This window comes from Homo sapiens, chromosome Y, assembly GCF_000001405.40.
Source record: "Homo sapiens chromosome Y, GRCh38.p14 Primary Assembly".
Classification (NCBI taxonomy): domain Eukaryota; kingdom Metazoa; phylum Chordata; class Mammalia; order Primates; family Hominidae; genus Homo; species Homo sapiens.
In genome coordinates, this window is record NC_000024.10 from 22303312 (window position 1) to 22316627 (window position 13316).

The 13316-nt window shown below is 43.3% G+C and overlaps 2 pseudogenes across 1 annotated transcript; one reads left to right on the forward strand and one right to left on the reverse strand.

Moving 5' to 3' along the window:
* TSPY22P (testis specific protein Y-linked 22, pseudogene) lies at positions 1117-4582 on the reverse strand (annotated as a pseudogene).
* RBMY2FP (RNA binding motif protein Y-linked family 2 member F, pseudogene) lies at positions 5548-12894 on the forward strand (annotated as a pseudogene). Its single transcript, NR_002193.2, has 4 exons — positions 5548-5659; positions 7549-7661; positions 8084-8187; positions 11182-12894. The product of NR_002193.2 is annotated as an RNA binding motif protein Y-linked family 2 member F, pseudogene (transcript).
* The last annotated feature ends 422 nt before the right edge of the window (positions 12895-13316 follow it).

Here is a 13316-nt window from a genome sequence, read left to right on the forward strand (position 1 = left end):
TGTGTGTCCTTTTGACTTACTAAGCAGTGACTCCTCTTAATCACATTATTTTTTATTTAACACTGCATTTGTTTTTCATATGTGCAATATTACACCTCCCAACGGATAAAAAATACAGAATTTGGGCTGTTATGTCAGAAACACCTTCAGTTTTCAGATTTGGGCTTCTGAAGTGTGCTTAATTTAAGTATTCTCATCAGGCCTTGATTTTTCAGATTTCTGTAATCGCTCCTCCAACATAAACAGTCTCTGCAGGTGATGACTACAATAAAATTAAAACCATGCTGGCTTTTAAGAAAATTATATAAATTTGGTGCTTTTTTTGGAGTGGGGATGGCAGGGGAGACAAAGTTTTGTTCTTGTGGCCTAGGCTGGAGTGCAGTGGCACCATCTTGGCTCACTGCAACCTCTGCCTCCCGGGTTCAACCGATTCTTCTGCCTCTGCCTCCCGAGTAGCTGAGATTACAGGCACCTGCCAGCACACCCAGCTAATTTTTGAATATTTAGTAGAGATGGGGATTCACCATGTTGACCATGTTGGTCTTGAACTTCTGAAATCTGGTAATCCACCAGCTTTGGCCTCCCAAAGTGTGGGGATTACAGATGTGAGCCACCCCACCTGGCCTTCAAATTATATTATCATACCCACTCAGTCAGACAATTTTTTGTAACTATCTGCATATTCTCCTCAGGTGAGGGAAAAACAGAATCAGAGTTCTTGAAGAATTTATGAAAGAGAGAATGACAACACTACAAAAGGTTTAACCTATTCACAATATTGTATTTAGTGAGTAAATACATTACTTTTAAAATCTTACTAAACTATTGAGTAAATAAATAAAATATGTTATTTCAATAACTCTAAAATACATGCCCCTGAAGAAAATAGAGGAAGGCTTCAAAAACATAAACAAATAAATGAGGCTGGGTGTGGTGGCCTGCGCCTGTAAGCCCAGAATTTTGGCAGGCCAAAGTGGTGGATCACTTGAGGACAGGAGTCGGAGACCAACCTGACAAATATGGTGAAACCCAGTCTCGACTGAAAATACAAAAATTAGCTGGACATGGTGGCATGTGCCTGTAATCCCAGTTCCTTGAGTGGCTGAGGCAGGGGAATCACTTGAAGGTGGCAGGTGGAGGTTGAGGTGAGCCAAGATCCTGACACTTCACTCCAGCCTGGGTGACAGAGTGAGACTCCTTCTCAAAATACACACACACACAAAACTAACAAATGAAAACAAAAATGTATACTAGAAAAAGTACTCATGGTCAAACTCATATATCTAACAGAAAAAAGTGTCCTTTAAAACAGAAGTTCCACAAGAGGCAAATAAGAAAACAAATTCATCAGTTTGCATGTAAAGTTCAAATAATCAACTGAAGAGAACCATAGGGGATAAATAAAAATGTGCAATTGAGTACTCTAAAAGAAGCTGAAAGTCAGTCAAAAATTTTCTGGATTCTATATCTCTACATTGCAAACATGACCATAAAATTTGCCAGGAGCAGAACAATCAAAATGTGTCTTAAAACTGAATAAACGTTTCAAGTCTCCTATAAGAATTGCAATGAAAAATGAATGTGTCTGCAGCATTTCCGTACAAATCAGAACAAACACTATTTCTTTGTACTCATTGTTTCACTATTCTAAGAAAATAACTTCCATATTAATATTAGGGGATGTGACAAAGCATGTCTTCATCATGATAAGTAACACTGGGTGTCCACACCACTACTTAGGTGGGCCTTAAATCCCAGCCAGTTTCTCTCCCTGGACAAACACCGAAGGTCCCAGCCATTTTGCAATCTCTTCACATTTCCTCCCCTGTGAGCACAGTGTGGTCCTCCAGATGCCCTGAGTAGTGGCCTCTCTTGTCTCAGGGGGCGGGGCAGTGTGAGTGATGATCCCAGAGGGGAGAAAGCATGTCAGGGGACCCCTGGGTCATTATAACAGAAAATGATGGGCCTCGGAGAGCCATTTTGGGAGGACATAGAGACAGGCCTTGCGGGTACATCTGCATGGAGGGCCTTGGTTGAGCCCAAACTGAGCCTCAAGTGGTAGCCGGCCTCAGGGCATGGAAGGGAGCCGGCGAGGGATGATGAGACAGCTGCCCCTTGAGCCTTGCTTCTTACCCACTGACCTTAGATCCTTATACCTCTTAGGTGGCTTGAGGTTCCCCAATCCTGAAATGAGGGTGTTACAGTTCCCAGATGGCCATTTCTCCGCCAGACCATGGATGGCCTGGGACTGCTCACTGCAGTCACCTCCCTGAGGCTTGGATTCTCCATGTGGGGCACAACTCCAGGGATCAAAGGCCTCTCAGTCCCCAGCCTAGACTGCTCACCTGGCCTCTTCTCTGTTCCCTCTCTAATGGCCTCCCTCCCTGGAGAAGTACTGCAGGGGACTGAGCCTGGCACACGTGGACTCTGAGCCCTTTGGAATTGTGGGTATGGAAGACCTACACACTAACTGGCATCCTGAGTGGCAGGCTCTGGCTGATGATCTGGGGGACTGCAGATGTAGGTACAGGACAGGTCAGGTCATGGCTCAAAGTCAATTCCCCATAAGCCAAGGCAAGGTTCTTTCCTATGATGTCCCACTGTGGCGCCTACCTCAGGAATCCTGCCAGAACCTGGGCAGTCACAGTCAGCCAATGGGCTGAAGAAGCTCAGGTAGGAAGTGTACTGCCTGCAGCTGGAGGCTTGACCTTCATGATCCCACAACCACTGGACTGCAGTGGAATGAGACTCCCTGTATCCTGGAGAGAGAGGAGTCAGGAAGGTTCATGCCAGACCTACCCTCCCACACACCAGCTCCCCTACCATGCTGGGAGGTGCTCCTTACCTAGGATGCCAATGCAATACTCCTGAATGGTCACTTCATTGTGGAAGTAAAGATTGTGATGAAAGGAAAACTTGATCCTGCCACCGGTACCTGGGATGGCTGAGTTCCTCCCCTTACCTGGCCAAGAAGGAGGAAGAGGATGCACTCAAAGGACCATTTCATGTAGCTGGGGTGAGGTGACCTGCTAGCTGGGGTGAAGCATGCGTTTCCCCTTCCCAACTCTCCCGCTGAGACAACCCCGGGTCCCAGGGGGACCTCAGTCTGACCCAGACACCGGACCCCTACCGCATACCCAGGCTCCTTAGCCTGACCTGCAAATCCATCATGCAGCTTAGCAGGACTTCATCATTTGTGATCCCGGCCAACATCTGGGTCTGCCGCACGATCTGCCTCTGGTTAAGGAGCCGCCAGATGATTGGGTGGGCGTGAAGGGAAACACCCTGCAACTTTGCAAGAGCACGGAGAGTGTGGGGCAGGGCTACCGTGCAGGCCGTTGGTCTGGCACCCTCCCTTCCCGCTCCTCTGCCTCTGTCTGGCGCTGGGGGGCACCTTTGCGGCTGTGGTGGTCCTGGCGGCGGGTGGAGGAGGCAGGCCCAGACAGTCTACTCTGACCAGAGGCAGGCACAGAAGAAGTGGGGAGGGGGTTGCGGGAGGGGTGTTGTGGTGTGAGGCGGCTACTTTCTCAGGGTTCCTGAGCTGTGGGAGGCCCTCGTGTGCTGGGTGCTGGACAGGTTCTGCTGCTGTCCGGGTGTGCGGTGTCCTCTTCTCCTGGTCTCACTGAGGGGTGGGCCTGTCCACCCGAGGGAACCGCTGTGGGTAGAAGTTGCTGCAGGGCTGTGCCTGGCTCTCCCCGTGAGACTCGAGTGGTTTCAACGGAGGTTATATATGCTCAGGGCCTAACCATCTTTGTGTGCAGCGCTGGCAGAGGGAAGAAATCCTGTCTGGGGAGCTGGTGCCTGCCTTGCAGAGGACAGCAGTCCCATGCACTGTGAACCCGAGTCTTGAGGACCTTGTGTTTCTGAGGTAAGCCTGCTGGACATAGGCACGGGGAGCAGGGGTAGTTCCCTGGCTGGCCTGGGCACGCAGACTCCCCTTCCTTCAGGGATTTTCCCAGTGAAAAGTGTCCTTCGACTTTCTGCTGTTTATGACGGGTCCTTTGAGCTGCTATTCTCCCTTGTGAGTATTGTGCTTGGCTTCATATCCCTACCTCGTGCCCGCAGGGGACACGGAATTTTGCTGCCCTTCTATCTGCATGAGTCTGTCCTTGGTTCCTCTCATTGTCCCCCATACCCTGAATCCTGGCTGAGCTCCGGTGCCTACCACCTTGTTTCCCCCAACCCCGCTCCCGGGAGCTCGGCGCCCACCCACTGCTGCCAGCCATCCCGAATTGACAGCTGCAAGGATATGGCTCTGGCCCAGAAGCCGGGGATGTCCCGCGGCCTGGGGCATTTACCGAGCCCAGCTCCACGTGAAGGACGTCCAGCGAGTCCGTTGCCGGCGGGGGCATACTAGGGCCAAGGCCAGGCTGGGCCTGCTGGGCCTCCTGCTGCCGCTCCACATTGGCCTCCTCCTTGGCCACCACCTCCATCTCTGCCATGATGTCATCCCCCACTGGCATGCCTCTTCCCCCAGGGTTGTCTCCCTGCTCTCCACACAGGCCGCCCTCTTCTGCAGAGCCTCCACCTTAACACGATGCCCTCCTTGAGGCTTCCACTGACTAAGGCCTGCACCGCCCATCTCACGTCCCTGGCACCCCTAGACCCTAGGGGAATCTGCCGGAGGGGCCCCCGGGCCTTGCCCTGCTGAGACCCATGTCCCACACCTACGTGGATGCAGGGTTCCCGGGGAGCCCCTCAGGGCCCACAGCTCGCCCCACTCGCAATGCGGCCCAGACACCCAGCAGGGTTAGCTGCACACAGTAGCCCTGGAGTTGGAGGCCGACGCCCTGGGCTTCCAGAGCCCCGCTAGCAGGCAGGACGGCCACTGCTGCCCTTGCGGGAGCCTCTGCGCCAGGAAGGCAGTGCACACGGGTCATCGGATTGGCGACCATGGTGGCTGGCCTCCCATGTGCCCACGGCACAGGATGAGAAGTCCTTTGGAATGCCCCTATGAGTACAGCATCCTCAGGGAGGAAGCATGGAACTCAGAGTCTGTATTTGGCTAGACCTTAGAGAGTCCTTGTGGGGTTTCAGCTTCTATTGCAGACAAATTCCACCCCAGCAACGTACCAGTCGACTTTCCTCACAGGCAACCGCCCTGCCCCACTCCCCTCAAACCACCGCCGCCGCCCTCACCCCAGCAGGCAGCGCTGGTCCCTCTCTCTCCCCTCTGGATCTGCAGTATTTAGTACCATCAGCCTAGCCTGCCTTACGAAGTAAGATGTTTCATGTGTTCTTTGTGGGTTAATTAATGTCTTGCCACACTCAGGATGCCAGTTAGGGTGTAGGTCTTCCAAGCCCACAATTGCAAAGGGCTCACAGTTCGCCTGTGCCTCAATCTACCGCTGCCCGCCACATGGCACAAGCGTGGTCTCGGAAGAGTTACCGCGACATAATGGAGCTGCAGGCCCGCAGGGGCGGAGGGGCCTCAGGACTCGCCCACAGCCTTTGCAGTAACTGGCTGACGCCCACCGCCTTCGCAATGATTGGCCGCTGGAGGTAGGCGGGATTTCCGGGCACGGCTTCCGGCGTCCTTCCCTCTCAGGGTAGCTCCAGCTGTCCCTCCCGCAGTTGGCCCTGTGGTGTTCCGAAGCCGGTTACGTACGGCCTGAGGGCCAGGCGAACCTCAGGCTCTTTGTCCTACTAAAAAGCGCAGGTATTTTCTGTTTCTCTGGACAGCTGGGTCTCTCGGCAAGAATAGAAAGCGAAGGTTTGGGATTTTGTCTATAAAAGGGGATGGGTTTTCTATGTGTGGGTGTTGAATTATGGGAGAAGACAGTGGGGAGAGAACTCCTTAGTGCTATTAAGAAACTCATTTTTGTTAAACTCATTGATTTTTCTTGAGGGTTCTACCTTTAACTGCCTAATATGTCCGACTAGTTGTGGGAGATTGTGCTAAGGCGCCATTGTTTTCATATGCACTTTTTATTAAAGCGGGTTTTCTCTGTGACTGTGGTCATCATTCAAAATACAGGCAATATACTTAACCAAGGCGATTAAAAACGTATACTTTTAGTCAACGCATGTCACATCTCTGATTTGCTTGACGGGAATTATCAACTTTTGACATAAATTGTGTTACCTTAGTTAATGTAGAAGTCTGGGGCCATAAATAATCTCAGTTTAACTTTGACTCTGTAAAGACTGTAAAGGTCTCCTTCCTTGTATGACAGTATTTGAAACATGTTTTATGTATGTTTGGCACCGTAAATAATTTAAACCGAATAAGTGGGTGTAATCCAGATAAATGGAGTTGGATAGCCTAAAATGGGAACAAAATAGATGCGCTTAAATTATTCTGTTAACCAGGCACACTGCCTTACTCCTGTAATCCTAGCATTTTGGGAAGTGGAGGTCGGAGGATGGCTTGAAGTCAGGAGTTTGAGACCAGCCTGGGTAACGTAATGGACTCTTTCATTGCTATTTTCGCATCAGGGACTGGTTTAGTGGAAGTCAGTTTTTCCTCAGACAAGGGTTGCGCAGGGGAAGAAGGCGACGAGGTGGACAGGTTTGGGAGTGGGGGCTGGCGGCAGGTCTCCGAGGGGCACGTGGTGGGGCGGGTCTTCCGGTAGGAGCAATGTGACAGAGGCCAGGTGGGGCAGTGAGGCTGTCACGGGGACAGGGAGGGCCAGCGAGGGAGTAGGCAGGATGGTTTCCGGATAAAACTGTACCACCTCAGGTCATCCTCAGGCGTTACATTCTCCACAGACAGGTATTACAGGTCATCCTCCGGCATCACATTCAGGCCACAGATAGGTAAGGGTTGAAGGCTAGGGTTTGGGGATCTTTGACCTATTGTATATTTCAAATCACTTAAAGATGGTAAAATATTTAAAATGTTCACCCCAAGAACATTTTAATTTGCTTGATTTAATCTTTTATCCGCGTATCTCGCTGGCCGTGGTTGTTCACCCTTGAAATCCCATCACTTTGGTAGTCCTAAGCCGGCAGATCACTTGAGCCCAGGATTTGGAGACCGGCTTCGGCAATATGGGGAAACCCGTGTCTATTCACACACACACACACACACACACACACACGCACACAAAATTACACAGCTGTGGTAAAAAGCCCTTGTAGTACCAGCTACTTGGGAAGCTGAGATGTGGGAAGATCAGTGGAGGCTGGGTGGAGGAGGCTGCAGTGAGCAGCGGACTTCGGCAACAGGAGATACACATCTCAAGAAAGAAAATACACAAAACATCACAGTGTACCTCATAAATGTATAGTTTTCAAATAAAATTATTTAAATGGGGGCAACCTTCACATTACAACTTAGTAAAATTACAATAGCTTTTCTTATCTTATTTATAGAAATGAGATTTTGTCAGGTACGGATTATAATGCAGCATTTGTCCATGAAATCAGTGCCCCCTTTGCTCTGTATGTTACAAATTTTATATATTTAAAGTAAGAAATACTAAAACGATGTCAGCCTCTGGAAGGGAATTTTACTTGAGTTTTCAACACAGTATGTAATAAAATTTTATCTTTTTAGCATATTTATTTTTATCTAAATATAGATTTTTCTTTGACCACTTGCAGCACAATGGTAGAAGCAGATCGTCCTGGCAAGCATTTCATTGGTGGCCTAAATAGGGAAAACAATGAAAAGATGTTTAAAGCAGTATTTGCGAAACATGGTCCCATATCAGAAGGTAACCCTTAAAACCATGGGTGTGTGTATATTTCAATGTGTATATTTAAAATATGTATGTTATGTATGTGCTTTGAAAAAATGTATGGTTTTCAAAGTTCATTGTATACCTACATTAAAATGCCTTATTTTTAAACTCTTATTTTGAAGTATCTATTTGATATTTGGAAAATTCTCATAGTAGCAGGTTAAGGGTCTGTGTAAGGATCACCTACTACTTAGAAAGGAAAATGAGGAAAAGTAAATGTGTTGTGGAGTTAGGGAACAAACTGGAATAAAATAGGCTGACTATAGGGGTGACTTAGTATTAAGAATCATAGTAGTGAAGTAAAATGCAATTATTTTTTGATGTGATGTAACTTTCAGATGGTTAGTACCTTGGTGAGTCCATTATATACATGGAAATGTTTTCATGTATTTTAGTTCTTTTGATAAAGGATCGAACCAGCAAATCCAGAGGCTTTGCATTTACTACTTTTGAGAACACTGCAGATGCTAAGAATGCTGCCAAACATATGATTGGAAAGGTAAGAGTCCCTTATTAATAGTATTCTAACTCTGTTCTTCAATTAAGAGTATTTCTAGGTCTTTTTAGTATTATGTAACTTTTGAAGTTAGTAGAATGCCATATGAAGCCATGCTCTTCTTTGTGCCATATACATCCAATTGTAGTTGGAAGGGTATTGGAATTAACATTATATAGATTAATATATGGTAACCTTTTTCTAAGTTTGTATTTCAATACGAATGTAAATAGATTTTAAAAGGTTTTGAAGAGCTTTAAAACTTATAAGGAGCCCTCATGTAAATGAAAGGAATAAGTCAACATTTATTAAATGCTATTAAGGGAATTACTTCCAATTCATGGAACTACTTCTAGAGCATAGAAAAACTGTGGATAGACATCTAGACAGACTCACAAGAAGGAAAGATTCTCTCTCATTTTCTGAAAAACATATTCTTGAGAAACTATATTAAAATAAGACTTTTACATTTAAGGAAGTGGTAAGTACTTGAAAATAGAAAAACGTATGATAACACTGAAGTTGGATAACAGAAGAAGTAACTGGCATTTTTGGCCCATCCTTGCTCTTTTCTGCTAAGGACGTTTTTCTCCTGTCACCAGAGTGATTTATGTAACACGAATACCTAATTACTCATTGTCCCAGTGTGTTTGAGGACTTGTTTTGATCCAACCAATGGTCTCTTGTCCTATTGAGTCTTAACTCTAGGGATTGTGTGTTTACAAAAGCTTTAAACTTTTATGTAATTCTATTAACTATTGAATTCCTTTACATTGTAGTCAATATCATTCCATTCTGGGCCCTTTAGAGCTTTTTTGCTTTGTAACATTACCCCAATCCGGCTGGGCGTGGTGGCTCACACCTCTAATCCCAGCACTTTGTGAGGCTGAGGTGGGCAGATCACAAGGTCAGGAGAACGAAACCATCATGGCCAACATGCTGAAACCCCGTCTCTACTAAAACACAAAAAATTAGCCATGCGTGGTTGTGTGTGCCTGTAGTTCCAGCTACTTGGTAGGCTGAGGCATGGGAATCAGCTGATCCCGGAGGCAGAGGTTGCAGTGAGCCAAAATCAGGCCACTGCACTCCAGGCTGGTGACAGAGCAAGACTCTTTCTCAAAAAAAAAAAAAAAAAAGAAAAGAAAAATAACATTATCCCAATCTGTTTTTAGTTCCTGTTAGTCATTACGCTATCCCAAAAATGCCTTTTTGGACTTCCTGGGAATTTTCCTTCCCCGTGTATGTCTCACAAATAATAATTTATGCTTCAAAACAACTTAGATTTCATATTTTCTTCCTCATTGCATATTGTAGGTATTTTGTACTCACAGTACCATATATTAACCTATTGATAGTGAAATTGTATGTAGTGCATATTTCAGTGTTCCTGGTTGCTTTTCTCTTACATCTATCATACTTCCTGGCACATAGCAGAAAGTACATTTTTATTCATTCTTATAAATTAATATTTTAAGCTGTGTTAGAAACCGAGAGTAGCTTTCGGTTCATGGCTTTGTGGTAAGTATGGAGATAATTTTGACTTACATATAGTAATCTATGATAATTTCTCCCCCCTCCGCAATTTTCAAGCAAAAGAGCAGGTAATTTGTGTAGAGTTTTGTTTGTTTGCTTGTTTGTTGTTTAAGATGGAGACTCACTGTGTCACCAGGCTGGATTGCAGTGGGGCGATCTTGGCTCATTGCAACCTCTGCCTCCTGGGTTCAAGTGATTCTCCTGCCTCAGCCTCCGAGTAGCAGGGACTACAGGCATGCGCCACCACGCCCAGCTAATTTTTGTACTTTGAGTAGAGTCGGGGTTTCACCCTGTTGGCCAGGATGAGCTCTATCTCTTCACTTTGTGATCTGCCCACTTCAGCCTCTCAAAGTGTTGGGATTACAGGCGTGAGCCACCATGGCCAATGTTATTTCTAAATTACTTCATCTCACATATTTTATTGTGTTAAAATAACTATGAATGTTGTATGCACATTAATGTTAAGATGGCCAATAAAGGAGGTTCTTTGAGTTTTCAGGGGGAATTAACAGTTAAGGAATTTTGGCTGACTTCAGAACACTGGGAAGGAAGCAGCCGTGGGCAAATCTGGGGAAAATATTTTGAGCCCAGAAATAACAAAAGAAGTTTCAAGGTAGGAACAACGGGCGATGTGGCTGCAAGCGGTCTTGTTCAGGGATTTAAGTCCTTCCTCCAAATAACAAAAGCCATGTAATTTTTAAATCGCATTATTAGCTGAACTGTTTTCAAAAATTGCTGTGGCCTGTAGAAAAGATTACAGTGAAAAATGTTATTATGAAATTAATTAGGATAGTTAAGCATTTCTGAGAAATTACCTGAAGTACTATATTAAGATTCGTTTTTTAGGGGCACGTCTAAGGCAATGTAAGAAATGAGTATGGCAAGAAAACTTAATGAGATCGAACAAGGATCACATTTACAGAAACATTTTTAGAGTCAATATAGAATTGTAAATCATATGGGGATATTTTATGTAAGTGTTAGCAAATCCAACAAGAAACACCTCATAATGAGTAATGTGACTAATCACTTTGAATAAGTAACCTCATTTTTTTAAATGACACAAGTTTCATTGGGACACTGAAACTTTTAAATTAGTGACGTGAATACAAAGATGAAGTGGATGATATATTGGGGAAAAAACAGATGTGCCACATTCCTCCATAGAATATTTGATGGGTTAATCTCTTTTTGTTAGTTTGAGGATTTTTTTTTTAAATAATGGAGAAGTTTTCAAGGAATTTGAATAATAGAATTTGTGTTTGATCCCTTAATGGAAGGCATGTGCTCAGTAAATGTCTCAAATTTGGCATTGTGAAAGATGTGTTCATTTTAGGAGAAAAAAACAAAAGTTTGCTTTGGGAGAAAATATCTAGAATTGAGCTATAGTTGATGTAAAAATGCTTGTAAAATGTGCTTAGGTTAAATATGCCAGTGTTATTGATAATACTCTTAATACTTTAGCCTTTGGATGGAAAAGCAATAAAAGTAGAACAAGCCAAGAAACCATCTTTTCAAAGTGGTGGTAGGCAGAGACCACCAGCTTCCTCAAGAAGCAGAAGCCCTTCAGGATGTCTGAGATCTGCAAGAGGAAGTAGTGGAGGAACAAGAGGATGGCATCCCTCACATGAAGGACGCTTGGGTAATGTTTTAAAATGTAAAGATGGAACCATAGGACTGAAAGAAAATAAGTTTGAAGATATCGAAATTTCTCAATTATATTTATTTCCTTTATGAACAGAAAATTGACTTATAATAAGCAAACTTATTTCTAAGTACTAAAGGTGTATTACAAGAATGATTGAAGTAATATCTAAAATTTGTTGTAAAATTGTAATAACGTTGGATTGAAATAACACAAATTTCAAACTGATTTGATTTTATGAATGCCAATTGCTGCTACTCAACAGGTTTTCTGCAGAACTCATTTATATTCATCATACTTTAGAGTTTTCTACTTTGGGGCCCAGAACTTCATATCAGTTGTATTATCAAAGTAAGCAATATTTAAAACTTTCCAACAGGGAAAAGTAACTCAGTACTTAAGATTGATTTTGCAATATTTGTTTTCTTGTATATATGTGTGCAAACATCTATGCAAATGTATTGCTTTGTAATTTTGATACAGAGAGTTTGTACATTGGCCTGCCATAAAGCATTTTCAATTTAAGAAATGTAGAACTTTAACTTCTGCAAAGAGTCTGTGACTCTGAAAAGGTCTAAAAACCACTGCTTCACATATATGTATGTATCTTTGTTTGCTGGAGGATAAGACACTGAAAATGATATTTATAGTGATTTACACAATAGAAATGAGGGGTCAATTTTTACATAAAAAAGAAAAACCACGTATTTTTTAAAAAAGAAAAAACTATTGGATGGGCTGGGTTTAGTAACTCATGCCTGACATCTCAGCACTTCAGGAGTACGGAGCAGGTGGACCATGAGGTCAGGACTTCCAGACCAGCCTGGTCAACATGGTGAAACCCTGTCTCTCCTAAAAATACAGAAAATTAGCCTGGCATGGTGGCATGCACCTGTAATCCCAACTACTCAGCTGAGGCAAGAAAATCGCTGGAACCTGGGAAGTGGAAGCTGCAGTGAGCCGAGATCAGGCCATTGCACTCCAGCCTGGGCAATAGGGCAAGAGTCCATCTCAATAAATAAATAAATAAATAAATAAATAAATAAATACCTATCGGTTAACTTGTATTATCTATTAACTAACCTTCAATAATCTAACATTTAACTTGGAGTTTTAATAACCAGATGTGTAATTAATTGGAGATTTTTTTAAGTGGAAATTGCAGTGTTTGCTCCATTTTAAGATGCATAGCTACATGGTTATTTTGTCTCCATTGCTTTTGAGGGTGAAGTTCAACAACACTCCACCATGTCTGAGAATGTGTGTATTCTAACCTGTAACACCACCTATGTTATGTATGTAGATATATTGCCGCATATCTACATTTTTTGTAGATATATAAAAATCTTTATATATTATTTAATATGCAATTCTTAATGACTATTAAAATTTAGCATAGTGTAATCTGAAAATTAGTGTTTCATAAGGGAATTGTAAGAATTCTATATTATGTTAACAAATTTTAGAGATAATGTATTTTCCTGATGTGTCACTTTTTGATATCATAAATATTTGAATTTGTTTGAATGGAATTTAGTTTATCTTTATGACATGCTTTGAAAATTTTTCCTCAAAACACAATGATATAAACAGTCATTTATCATTTTTCTTTTAATATTTTATGTCTATTATACTTAGATATTTTAGTGATAGATTTCTGCTCCCTGTTCACTCCCCAATTTGTCTTCATCTCTCTCTCACACCAATATATTATGATTCTTGAGTTTCTTTCTAGATTTTCTCAACAGACTTTTATTGCTTGAACTGTACTTATTTCATATAGAAATGTTAATTTTATTAGCTTAGACAAATATGAATTTATAAGATGATAATATGTAGATAATCTTTATAAACAACTAAAACTTAGCCATTTAAGAAACAGTGATGTTAGTTAACTGAAAAGATTTTGTTTGAAATACAGATGATGATGCATACTCTCTTGATCTCAACACGA